This window comes from Homo sapiens, chromosome 19 (assembly GCF_000001405.40).
Source record: "Homo sapiens chromosome 19, GRCh38.p14 Primary Assembly".
Lineage (NCBI taxonomy): Eukaryota > Metazoa > Chordata > Mammalia > Primates > Hominidae > Homo > Homo sapiens.
Window position 1 is genome coordinate 14,639,920 of NC_000019.10, and position 13,500 is coordinate 14,653,419.

General features: G+C 44.8%; 1 protein-coding gene across 6 annotated transcripts in view; it reads right to left on the minus strand.

Annotated features, from left to right (window-relative positions):
• ADGRE3 (adhesion G protein-coupled receptor E3) overlaps positions 1 to 13,500 on the minus strand; it is a 74,728-nt gene that overhangs the window by 39,803 nt on the left and 21,425 nt on the right. For 5 of the 6 annotated variants that reach the window (XR_001753772.2, XM_011528374.3, NM_001289159.2 and 2 more), the window contains 4 exons: positions 11,166 to 11,285; positions 7,262 to 7,446; positions 4,189 to 4,356; positions 1,500 to 1,697 (listed from right to left, as the gene is read on the minus strand). Coding sequence is in view for 5 of the 6 variants with exons in the window: in XM_011528374.3 (XP_011526676.1) it covers positions 1,500 to 1,697; positions 4,189 to 4,356; positions 7,262 to 7,446; positions 11,166 to 11,285 (671 nt within the window). In the remaining variant the exon portion in view is untranslated. The remainder of the gene's footprint in view (positions 1 to 1,499; positions 1,698 to 4,188; positions 4,357 to 7,261; positions 7,447 to 11,165; positions 11,286 to 13,500) is intronic. The other variant, XM_047439546.1, reaches the window with a different exon arrangement.

Below are 13,500 nucleotides of genomic sequence, written 5' to 3' on the forward strand. Positions count from 1 at the left end.
CTCTTGTATTTATTCTTTCCGTCTAGCTGAAATTTGGTATCCTTTGACCAACATCTCCCTAAACCCCTTCCCTGCTGCCTTAGTCTCTGCTAACAACCATTCCCCTCTTTGGTTTTATGAGTTTGGCTATTTTAGATTCCACACATAAGTGAGATCATGCACTGTTTGTCTTTCTGTGCCTTGCTTATTTCACTCAGCTTAACAATCTCCAGGTTCATCCATGTTATCACAAATGGCAGGATTTCCTTCTTTTTCTGAAGGCTGAATAGTATTCCAGGACATTAGTTTACAAAGGCATTCCTCATACCTATTCTCTTCCTTCTACCCTCCTACCCTTGCTATGGGGGGGACAAAAGTTGATCACTAAGACAACTTATTTATTTATTTAAGATGGAGTTTTGCTCTTGTTGCCCAGGCTGGAGTGCAATGGCGCAATCTTGGCTCACTGCAGCCTCTGCCTCCCGGGTTCAAGCAATTCTCCTGCCTCAGCCTCCCAAGTAGCTGGGATTACAGGTGCTCATCACCACGCTGGGCTAATATTTTGTATTTTTAGTAGAGACGGAGTTTTGCCATGTTGACCAGGCTGGCCTTGAACTCCTGACCTCAGGTGATCTGCCCACCTCAGTCCCCCAAAGTGCTGGGATTACAGGTGTGAGCCACTGTGCCCGGCCACCGAGACAACTTTAGATCCTCATTGGTCTGGAGCCAACACCAGAGGAATCTACAAAACCAATGATATGGTTTGGCTCTGTGTCCCCACCCAAATCTCATCTTGAATTGCACTCCCATAATTCCCAAATGTTGTGGGGAGGACCCGGTGGGAGATAATTTGAATCATGGGGGCGGTTTTCCCCATATTGTTCTCGTGGTAGGAAATAAATTTCACGAGATCTGATGGTTTTATCAGGGGTTTCTGCTTTTGGATCTTCCTCATTTTTTCTCTTGCAGCCACCATGTAAGAAGTGCCTTTCGCCTCCCGCCATGATTCTGAGGCCTCCCCTGCCATGTGGAACTGCAAGTCCAATTAAACCTCTTTTTCTTCCCAGTCTTGGGTATATCTTTATCAGCAGCCTGAAAATGGAGTAATACAACCAATGATACTAGTAAGCCTTTATCTATCACTCATTTCCCAGATATTTGCCTTCCCATAATTTGTGCCCCTAGAGAGCCAAGATCTTTTTCCCTTCTTCAAAAATTCATCATTCTTTGTCAAAAACGCTGTCGTTCTAAACTACCTCTTTGAGAATGCCTCGTTACCTGGGTATCTCCCATGTATATATGAAATATGAATATATGTTAATGAACTTCTGTTTGCTTTTTCTCTTATCTGTCTTTTGTTACATGGGTCCCAGCTACGATCTCAGAAGGGTAGCGGGAAAATTATATTTTTCTCCTCTACAGACCCAAGGACATTTTATTAAGGAATCTAGTGCAGCATTGCTCCATGAGCTCAGTGTACCTTGGGGCAGAAAGGGCATCCTCTGAGACACTGTCAGTACCTTGGGTTCAGTTCGATCAATCCCCACGAGGAAGAGGAGGTGGGCCAGGAAGAGGCAGAGCGAGAGCTGCAGATGCAGTGAGGTGCTGGTGTTCCGGATGGCTTTACACAGGAGAAAAGTGAGGGCCGCCAGGAGGAGGCACAGCAGAGAGACGCTCAGCCCCACGTAGGTGATGACAGTCAGCACGGGATCCTCCTCCTGGGACCGAGAAAAAAAGTTCACAGTGATGCTTTCCTGCACTGGGATTATGGCTCCCTCCTTGAACTGGGGCATCCTAGACACAGGCACCAAGCCCAGTGGTAGTGTGGGACCGTTAGACTGCTAATGTAGATTGCTAATGTAGACTGCTAATATACACTGCTAATATAGATGGCTAACGTAGATTGTTAATGTAGACTGCCAATGTAGATTGTTAATACAGACTGCTAATGTGATTGTTAATGTAGACTGCTAATATAGATTGCTAGACTGTCTTTTTTATTTTCAGCTTTATTGAGGTGTATACTTAATGTATCAAAAATTACTCATATTAAATGTATACACTTTGATGAGTTTGGACATATGATTTTTTTCCCCTAAAAAAAGTAGAATGGCAGTTACCAGAAGCTGGGGAGAGGAGAGAGAGAGAATAGGGAGTTGGTTAAGGAGTGAAGAGTTTCAGTATTGCAAGATGAAAGAGTTCTGGAGATGGATGGTGGTTGATGATTGCACGATATGATTGTACTTTACTGAACTGTATATACATTTAAAAATGGCTTAGATGGTAAATTTTATGTTCTGTGTATTTTACCACAATCTTTACAAAGTGATTTTTGGGCCATGGTGTCTCACACCTGTAATCCCAATGCTTTGGGAAGCTGAGGTGGGAGGATTGCTGGAGGCCAGGAGTTCAAGACCGACCTGAGCAACAAGTGAGACCCCGTATCTAAAAAAAAAATAAAGTGTCTTTGTATGCAGAGGGCTTGTGCTATGCAGTACCAGTTTGATCAGAGAGCTCATACTAATGAAGGGATTTAAAAAACTTTTTTAAGTTCAGAGATACATGTGCAGGTTTGTTACATAGGTAAACCCCTGTCGCGGGGGTCTCTTGTACAGATTATTTCATCACCCAGGTATTAAGCTTAGTACCCATTAGTTATTTTTCCTGGTCCTCTCCCTCCTCCCACTCTCCACCCTCTTTGTGTCTGTTGTTCCCCTCTTTGTGTCCATATGTCTCCTCATGTAGCTCCCACTTATAAGTGAGAACACGAGTATTTGGTTTTCTGTTCCTGTGTTAGTTTGCTAAGGATAATGGCCTCCAGCTCCATCCATGTCCCTGCAAAGGACATGATCTCATTCTTTTTTATGGCTGCATAGTATTCCATGGTGTATGTATTCCATATGTACCACATTTTCTTTATCCAGTCTACCATTGATGGGCATTTAGGTTGATTCTATGTCTCTGCTATTGTGAATAGTGCTGCAGTGAACATACATGTGCATGTGTCTTTATGATAGAATGATTTATATTCCTTTGGGTATATACCCAGTAACAGGATTGCTGGGTTGAATGGTAGTCCTGTTTTCAGCTCTTTGAGAAAGTGACATGCTGCTTTCCACAATGGTTGAACCAATTTACAACCCCACCAACAGTGTGTGTTCCTTTTTTTCTGCTACCTCACCAGCATCTGTTATTTTTTGACTTTTTAATAGTAGTCATTCATGATGTGGTTTATAGTAATCATGGTTTTTTTTTTTTTTTTTTTTTAGACAGAGTCTCGCTCTGTCGCCAGGATGGAGTTCAGTGGTGTGATCTCGGTTCGCTGCAACCTCTGCCTCCCAGGTTCAAGCAATTCTCCTGCCTCAGCCTCCTGCGTAGCTGGGACAACAGGCGTGTGCCACCACACCTGGCTAATTTTTGTATTTTTAGTAGAGATGGGGTTTCACCATGTTGGTCAGGATGGTCTTGATCTCCTGACCTCGTGATCTGCCTGCCTCGGCCTCCCAAAGTGCTGGGATTACAGGTGTGAGCCACTGTGCCTGGCCCAGTAATCATATCTTTGCCCTGGGGTCCTATAGTCTGAGCAACTGAGGTCAACCATGTAGGCATTGCATCCCTATGTGAATGATCCCCCAATACACACCCTGAACACCAAAGCTCTGGTGAGCTTCCCTGGCTGACAACACTTCACATGCGTTGTCATAAGTCATTGCTGGGAGAATGAACTGCATCTGTGTGACTTTCCTGGGAGAGGACACTGGAAGCTTGCACCAGGTTTCTCCTGGACTTCTTACCTTGCGTCTTTTCCACATGTTGATTTTTTTTTTTTTGAGATGGAGTCTTGCTCTATCACCCAGGCTGGAGTGCAATGGCTTGCTCTCAGCTCCCTGAAACCTCTGCCTCCCAGGTTCAAGCCATCCTCTTGTCTCAGCCTCCTGAGTAGCTGGGATTACAGGCATGTACCACTATGTTTGGCGAATTTTTGTATTTTTAGCAGAGATGGGTTTTTGCCATGTTGGCCAGGCTGGTTTCAAACTCTTGACCTCAGGTGATCTGCCCGTCTTGGCCTCCCAAAGTGCTGGGATTAAAGGCATGAGTCACCATGCTCGGCCTTTTTTCAGTTTTTTTTTTTTTTTTTAATAGCACTTATTACCACTTAGTAGGGGCTCAGAAAGTATTTGCTGGAAGAATAAAACATATACATCATACCTGGCTGGTCAGGGCCATCAGGACAGCGAAGCTGGACAGGTGACTGCAATTACACATGGTGTGACTCTTGTTCACGTGTATCAGGAAGCAGCCATCCCTGGACCACTGGCTGCCCTGCCCTGTGCTCTTCCAGTAGACACAGAAGACCTTTTTGGTACTGGGGGTCATCTGAAAATAGAAAATAGAAAGGGCTCATTGTCTTTGTCTTTCTTTCTTTCTTTTTTTTTTTTGGAGACAAAATCTTGCTTTGTTACTCAGGCTGGAGTGCAGTGGCTCAATCTCGGCTCACTGCAACCTCCGCTTCCTGGGTTCAAGCGATTCTCCTGCCTCAGCCTCCCAAGTAGCTGGGATTACAGACGTGCAGTACCACACCAGGCTAATTTTTGTATTTTTTGTAGAGACAGGGTCAACCGTGCTGCCCAGGCTGGTCTCGAACTCCTGGACTCAAGCAATCTTCCTGCCTTTGCCTCCCAAAGTGCTGGGATCATACAGGCATGAGCCACTGCATCTGGCCAGCTCATTGTCTTTTTCCTCAGGAGGGACAGTTCTCAGTGTTGGCCTATGCCAGGGTGCCACCTGCTAAGGCACCTGTGTGAAGAGTGACTCAGGTGATTTCTGTTTTGTTTGTTTGTTTTTGAGACGGGGTCTCATTCTGTCACCCAGGCTGGAGTGCCGTGACGCAATCACAGCTCACTGCCACCTTGACCTCCCTGGCTCAAACGATCCTCCCATCTCAGCCTCCAGAGTAGCTAGAACTACAAGTGTGTACCACCATGCCCAGCTAACTTTTGTATTTTTAGTAGAGATGGGGTTTCAACATATTGCCCAGGCTGGTCTTGAACTCCTGGCCTCAAGCAATCCTCCTGCCTTGGCCTCCCAAGAGGCTGTGGTTATGGGCATGAGCCGCTGTACCTGATTTCTATTTTATGCGGCCACCAGGACCCCCGATCCATAACCGCAGCTCTTTTGGGATTTTATGTAACATAAAATAAAGCAAAGGCTCCCTGGGAACCACAGTTTCAAGAGATTTCTTTGGTTTTAGAACCTTGCCCCAACCATGGGAGGAAAAAAACAAAAAAAAACCCAAAAAAAGCAGTGGAGTCTGAAGCTCTCATGTTTTTCCCTAAAGTCTCTCTAAGCCAAATGTCCCTGGTCGTTGTATAATCAATTTTGTCTCTACTCCCTTACAACACAATAATTGCTTATGCAATGAGAGGCATGATATAGGAAAGAAAAGTCATGAGGAGAGAGAATAAAATGAGCCTTTGAAGCCGGGCACAGTGGCTCATGACTGTAATCCCAGCACTTTGGGAAGCCAAGGCGGGTGGATCACCTAAAGTCAGGACTTGGAGACCAGTTTGTCCAACATGGCCAGACATCATCGCTACTAAAAATACAAAAATGAGCCAGGTGTGGTGGCACTTGCTCGTAATCCCAGCTACTTGGGAGGCTGAGGCAGGAGAATCGCTTGGGCCTGGGAGGCGGAGGTTGCAGTGAGCTGAGATCGCACCACTGTACTTCAGCCTGGGCGACAGAGACTCCGACTCAAAAAAAGAAAAAAAAAAAAGAAAATAGAAAAACAGGTCGGATGAAGTCGTTCATACCTATAATTTCAGGGTTTTAAGAAGCTGAGGTGGGAGGGTTGCTTGAGGCCAGGAGTTTGAGACCAGCCTCGACAACATTATGAGTCCCCCTCTCTACCAAAAATAAAATAGTTAGTTGGGCGTGGTGGCACACACCTGTAGTTCCAGCTGCTGGGGAAGCTGAAGTGGGAGAGTCCCTTGAGCCCAGGAGTCCGAGGCTGTAGTGAGCTATGATTGTGCAACTGCACTCCAGCCTGGACAACAGAATGAGACCCTTTCTCAAAAAAGGTAAAGATATAGATCAATTAACTTTAATAATAAATTTTATTTAACCCACTATATCCAACATAGTATCTTTTAAATATATCAGTATAAATTAATAAATATAATCAACATAGATATTATCAAGGAGATATTTTACATTCCTTTCTTCTTCTCTTTCTTTTTTTCTGAGACGGAGTCTGACTCTGTTGCCAGGCTGGAGTGCAGTGGCGCGATCTTGGCTCACCGCAACCTCCGCCTCCTGGGTTCAAGAGATTCTCCTGCCTCACCCTCCCAAGTAGCTGGGACTACAGGCATGTGCCACCATGCCCAGCTAATTTTTGTATTTTTAGTAGAGATGGGGTTTCACGAAGTTGGCCACTTGATCACTTGACCTCATGATCCCCCCACCTTGGCCTCCCAAAGTGCTGGGATTACAGGTGTGACCTTTCTTCTTTTCTTTTTTTGTTTTGATTTACTTTTTAAAAATGTATTTTTAATTTATACATTATAATTGTATATATTTATGGGATACAGTGTGATTTATAATACTTGTATTTGCATACCATGTAGAATGATTACATCTAGCTAATTCTTTTTTTTTTTTTTTTTGCATTTATTCTTATTGGTTCTCTGAAACTCCTGGATCTGTGGTTTGGTGTTTGACATTGGTTTGGGGAAATTCTCAGTCACTTCCCTCTCTCTCTTCCTCCCTCCCTCCCTCCCTCCCTCCCTCCCTCCCTCCTTCCTTCCTTCCTTCCTTCCTTCCTTCCTTCCTTCTTTCCTCTTTGTTTCTTTGTTTCTTTTCTTCTTCTCCTTACTGTTTTTCTTCTTCTTCCGACAGTGTCTTGCTCTGTGCCCCAGGCTGGAGTGCAGTGGTGCAATCATAGCTCACTGCAGCCTCCAACTCCTGGGCTCAAGCAATCCTCTTGCCTCAGCCTCCCGAGTAGCTGGAAGTATAGGAGCATGCCAACCTGCCTGGTTTAAATCAAGCTAATTGTTTTCTTCTTATTAAGTCTTCAAAGGCTGATTTACAAGATGTAAATCTGGAAATACTGTCTTCAAAATCTCGATTCAGACCAGCTACATTTCAAATGCTCAATAGCGACAGGTGCTCCTGACTACGACCCTGAACAGAGTGGGTCTAGAACCACAGCCTGGGATGATACACACATCGTTTGGCCTGCCTCCTTGAGAACCCACAAGCTCAAATCATACCTGTGACCCACCTTCACGTGCTGGAAAGTCAGCGTCACAGACTTGGAGAGAGACACGTTCCTTTTGGGTCCAATAGCAGCACTCACAACCTGAGAGTTCAGATACACTTGATCTTTCTTATCCATCTCTTCAAAAAAAGTTGCATTTATGATGTTTCCAAGAGAAGAATATGAGATAAAGGCAATGGCACTGGGACCTGAGGAAACAGAAAGATGGAATCTTTTTTCTTTTCTTTTCTTTCTTTTTTTTTTTTTTTTTTTGAGACGGAGTCTCGCTCTTGTCGCCCAGCCAGGCTGGAGTGCAGTGGCGTGATCTTGGCTCACTGCAACCTCCGCCTCCCGGGTTCAAGTGATTCTCCTGCCTCAGCCTCCCAAGTAGCTGGGATTACAGGCACTCACCACCATGCCTGGCTAATTTTTTGTCTTTTTAGTAGAGATAGGGTTTCACTATGTTGGCCAGGCTGGTCTCAAACTCCTGACCTCAGGTGATCCACATGTCTTGGTCTCCCAAAGTGCTGGGATTACAGGCATGAGCCACCATGCCCGGTCTGCCGTTTTTTAGAAGAGTTGTTCTCAGATGGAGCTTAAATCCTGTGATCCCTGGAGGATTCGTTTTAACAGAGTGCTGGCACCGGGCATGGTGGCTCACACCTGTAACCCCAGCACTTTGGGAGGCTGAGGGGGTGGTGGATCACTTGAGGTCAGAAGTTCAAGACCAGCCTGGTCAACATGGTGAAACCCTGTCTCTACTAAAAATACAAAGATTAGCTGGTTGTGGTGGCACATGCTTGTAATCCCAGCTACTTGGGAGGCTGAGGCTGGAGAATCGCTTGAACCCAAGAGGCGGAGGCTGAAGTAAGCTGCGATCACGCCACTGCACTCCAGTCTGGGTGACAGAGTGAGACTCCATCTCAAAGACAAAAAAAAAAAAAAAAAAGATGTTTTCCTACAAACAACCCACTTTTTGCATTTTCTGGAAACTTCAAAGTCTGGTAACACTGAGACAATGAATAATAATCTATTTCTTCCTACAAAGGCTGTAGGTACGGTGGGCACCCTGGCTCGAATCCCTGGCATTCTTGGTTTCTTTAATATGCTGATTAATTCTGCTGTAAGCATCGGTGATTCTGCCTGGGAACTTCCATGGGCGTGAATTTGTGTTTGGCCTGCACAGAGGACAGGCTGGAAGAGCTTGAAAGTTCAGCCCCCGGAGCAACCCTCCACCAATGATAGATCAGAGCAGATGGACAGACGTCCTAGCTCCCTCTTCTCGAATGGGACAGCTCAGTGAGATTGAGCCCCAGGTACCCCAACAGCAAGCTGCTCACTCAGGTACCTACCTCATTGGCTGCCTTTACTTGCCTGTCTTACTTTGCCTCTTACCTACTGTGATAGTTCATTTTACATGTCCACTTGGTTAGGCCATGGTCCCCAGACATGAGGCATGGATGTTGCCATGAAGGTGTTTTAAAGATGAGATTAATATTTAAATCAGTAGACTGAGTAAAACAGATTGCCTGCTATAATGTGGGTGGGCCTTATCCAATCAGTTGAAGGCCTCAAGAGAAACTAGACTAAGGTCTCCTGAGAAAGAGGTAGTTCTGGCCTCAGACTCTCTTTGGATTCAAGCTGCACTATCAGTTCTACCTTGTGTCTCCTGCCTGCCTGCCCACCCTGCAGATTTTGGACATGTCGGCCTTCCATAGTCACGTGAGCCAATTCTTTAAAATGACTCTCCTCGTCCCTCCTCATCTCTTTCTTTCCTTCTCTCTCCCCATCTCTCTCTTTCCATCTCTCTCCCCCATTTCTCTCTCCCCATCTCTCTCTTTCGATCTCTCTTTTGATCTCTTTCCACATCTCTCTCTTTCCATATATCTCTCCCCATCTCTCTAATTCCATCTCTCTCTCCCTATCTCTCTTTCCATCTTTCTCCCCATCTCTCCCCATCTCTCGAATTCCGTCTCTCTCTCCACATCTCTCTCTTTCCATCTCTCTCCCCATCTCTCTCTTTCCACCTCTCTCCCTCTCTCTCTTTTCATCTCTCTCTCCCCATCTCTCTCTTTCCATCTATCTCTTTCCATCTTTCTCTCCCCATCTCTTTCTTTCCATCTCTCCATCTCGCTTTTGATCTGTCTCTTCCCATCTCTCGCTTTTGATCTCCCTCTGCCCATCTCTCTTTTTCCATCTCTCTCCCCATCTCTCTTTCCATCTCTCTCTCCCCATCTCTCTCTTTCCATCTCTCTCCCCATCTCTCTAATTTCATCTCTCTCTCCCCATCTCTCTCTTTCCACCTTTTTCCCCATCTCTCTCTTTTGATCTCTCTCTCCATCTCTCTTTTTCCATCTCTCTCTCTCCATCCCTCTTTTCATCTCTTTCTCCCCATCTCTCTCTTTCCATCTCTCTCCATCTCTTTCTCCTCATCTCTCTCTTTCGATCTCTGTCTTTCCATCTCTCTCTCCATCTCTCCCTCCCCATCTCTCTCTTTCCATCTCTCTCCATCTCTTTCTCCCCATCTCTCTCTTTCGATCTCTGTCTTTCCATCTCTCTCTCCATCTCTCCCTCCCCATCTCTCTCTTTCCATCTCTCTCCATCTCTTTCTCCCCATCTCTCTCTTTCAATCTCTGTCTTTCCATCTCTCTCTCCATCTCTCCCTCCCCATCTCTCTCTTTCCATCTCTCTCCATCTCTTTCTCCCCATCTCTCTCTTTCGATCTCTGTCTTTCCATCTCTCTCTCCATCTCTCCCTCCCCATCTCTCTCTTTCCATCTCTCTCCATCTCTTTCTCCCCATCTCTCTCTTTCAATCTCTGTCTTTCCATCTCTCTCTCCATCTCTCCCTCCCCATCTCTCTCTTTCCATCTCTCTCCCCATCCCTCTCTTCCCATCTCTCTCCCCATCTCTTGCTTTTGATCTCTCTCTCCCCATCTCTCTCTTTCCATCCCTCTCCTCATCTCTCTCTTTCCATCTCTCTCTACTCATCTCTCTCTTTCCACCTCTCTTCCTATCTCTCTCCCCCATCTCTCTCTTTGCATCTCTCTCCTCTCCATCTCTGTCCCCATCTCTCTCTTTCCATCTCTCTTCCCTTCTCTCTCTTTCCATTTCTCTCCCCATCTCTGTCTTTCCACCACTCTCCCCATCTCTCTTTTCTCATCTTTCTCTTTCCATCTCTTTCCCTATCTTTTTCCATCTCTCTTCCCTTCTCTCTTTCCATCTCTCTCCCCTTCTCTCTCTTTCCATCGCTGTCCCCATCTCTCTCTTTCCATCGCTCTCCCCATCTCTCTCTTTCCACATCTCTCTCCCCATCTAATTCCATCTTTCTCTCCCCATCTCTCTCTTCCCATCTGTCTCTCCCCATGTCTCTCTTTCCACCTCTCTCCCCATCTTTCTCTCCATCTCTCTTTACCCATCTGCCTCTCCACATCTGTTTCTCTCCATCTCTCTCATCTCTTGCTCTCTGTCTCCATCTCTCTCTCTCTCTCTCTCTCTCTCTCTCTCTCTCTCTCTCTCTCTCTCTCTCCCCTCTTCCCACACCCCCCCACACCCTACACTCTTCAGCTCTTTAGTTGTGATTCTCTGGAGAACACTGATGAATACACCCACTGTTGTTCCTGGGGATCACCTCCCAAAGAAACTTCTCACACTTCTTTCAGGGTTTGCTTCTGGGTGAACCCAAACCGGGACACAGGCAGAACAGCACTCCCCCACCATCCCAAATTGCAAAGTCCCTCCCATACTGAATAACAGAAAACCTCCATTTTGGGAAAATGTCTTTTTTTTTTTTTTAAAGGGAAAATCTCCAATATCGTAGTTTGAGGGTAAAAAGCCCATGAGGGGAGAGCCCAGTGGGCTTGTTTCCCCATGACTCACACAATGACATGGCTCTGTGTGAAGGATTCTGAATGCAGCCATCAGGCATACCTTGTGTGTCTCCCTGGATGATGTCACTGCAACGGATGTCCATTGAGTTCATTTGGACGTTCAAGTTGAATGTCTTTCTTTCTTCAGAGCAATTGTCTGTAATCGCTTGAGTTTCAATAGCTGGTAAGAAAAGCAATGGGCAGGCTTAGTGATATTGTAAGAAACTTTAAAAATATGCATAGGAACAGGACATGGTGGTGCATGCCTGTAGTCCCAACTACTCAAGAGGCTGAGGCAGAAGGATTGCTTGGGCCCAGGAATTTGAGCCCAGGCAACACAGTGAGATGCTGCCTCTAAAAAAAAAATGTTCATAGCAACATAAATGGCTCACATATACTGAATGTCTAGGATGTGTCGGGCACTGAGCTAAGAGTCTTACACATGTCACCTTATAAACCTATAACTTCATCAGGGACAACTCTATAGATGAGGAAACTGAAGTCAGAAGTTAGGTAAGACTCTAATTCCTGAAACCAAGTTCTTAACTAACAGCTCTTAGCATACACCTTTGAAGATACAGTTCTATTTCTAGGAGTTTATTCTCAGAAAACGATTGTGGATGGAGGGCAGATTTAGCTACAAGAAAGTTCATAGCAGCTTAGATGATAATGGTGGAAAATGGGGGATTATCTAGATGTTCAACAAGAGGTGATTGATTAAATAAGTGATGATATGGGCTGGGCACAGTGGCTCATGCTTGTAATCCCAGCACTTTGGGAGGCCATGGCAGGTGGATTGCTTGAGGCCAGGAGTTCAAGACCAGCCTGGCCAACATGGTGAAACCCCATCCCTACTAAAAATACAAAAATTATCTGGGCATGGTGGTGTGCACCTGTAATCTCAGCTACTTGGGAGGCTGAGGCACGAGAATAGTTTGAACCGGGGAGGCAGAGGTTGCAGTGAGCTGAGATCACGCCACTGTACTCCAGCCTGGATGATGGAGTGAGACTCTGTCTCAAAAATAAGTAAGTAAGTAAATAAATAAATAAGTGATGATATATCTCTGTGGTGGGGAACCAGGGCTTCAAATAAAAATAAAGTCACAAATGAATTGCAATCAAGAAAAACTCATGAGAAAAAAGGTAACCATGTGAGTGATGGATGTGTTAGCTAATTTGATTGTGGTGATCATTCCACAGTATATATGTATATCAAGTCATCCTATTGTACACCTTAAATATATACAATTTTCTTTATCAATTACACCTTAATAAAGCTAAAAAATGTTAAGCTCATGAAAATATGTATCTTAAAAACAGACAACCCAAGACTGGCTGTGAGATGGAAATCGTTGAATTGGGTGATGGGTGCATCAGGGATTTTATTCTCCTATTTCCTTTTGTGCATATTAAAAGGTTAAAAAAAAAAAGAAGCAAGCAACAAAACAGCACATCAAGAATGACACTATTTTATGGCTGGGTGCAGTGGCTCATGCCTGAATTCCCAGCACTTTTGCAGGCTGAGGCCAGTTGATTGCTTGAGGTCAGGAGTTCAAGACCAGCCTGGCCAACATGGTGAAATCCCATTCTACTAATACACAAAAATTAGCTGGTCATGGTGGCAGGCACCTTTAATCCCAGCTACTAGGAAGGCTGAGGCAGGAGAATTGCTTGAACCCAGGAGGCAGAGGTTGCAGTGACCTAGATCATGCCACTGCATTCCAGCCTGGGCAATAGAATGAGACTCCATCTCAAAAAAAAAAAAAGAAAAAAAAAAAAAGAATGACATTAATGACATTCTAGAAACTACTACTGGTTTGTCTAATATTGACTCTCAGTTTTTGAAAAGTTTACAAGTATTTACTCTAATTATGTATTAATGTTTTTGGCCTACTGTTTCATTCATTTAGTACGTTTTAATGAATAGAAATTCTTGAGCTCAGTGTAAGTGAATTTATTGTTATTATTATTATTTTTGAGATGGAGTCTTGCTCTTTTGCCCAGGCTGGAGTGCAGTGGCTTGCTCTCAGCTAACTGCAACCTCTGTCCCCCGGGTTCAAGCGATTCTCCTTCCTCAGCCTCACAAGTAGCTGGGATTACAGGCATGCACCACCACGCCTGGCTAATTTTTTTTAGTAGAAACAGGGTTTCACCATGTTGGCCAGGCTGATCTCGAACTCCTGACCTCAAGTGATCCGCCTGCCTTAGCCTCCAAAAGTGCTAGGATTACAGGATGAGCCACCTCATCCTGCCCACAATGTTAATTTCATCATCCATTATATTATCGCTTGTTACTCTTTGTCATTTTTATCAAACCTCAATTTGACTTGTTTTTATATTATTTAATATTTTCTACATTAAACTATGTGTTTCCTGTAAAAAAGAATGACACTATT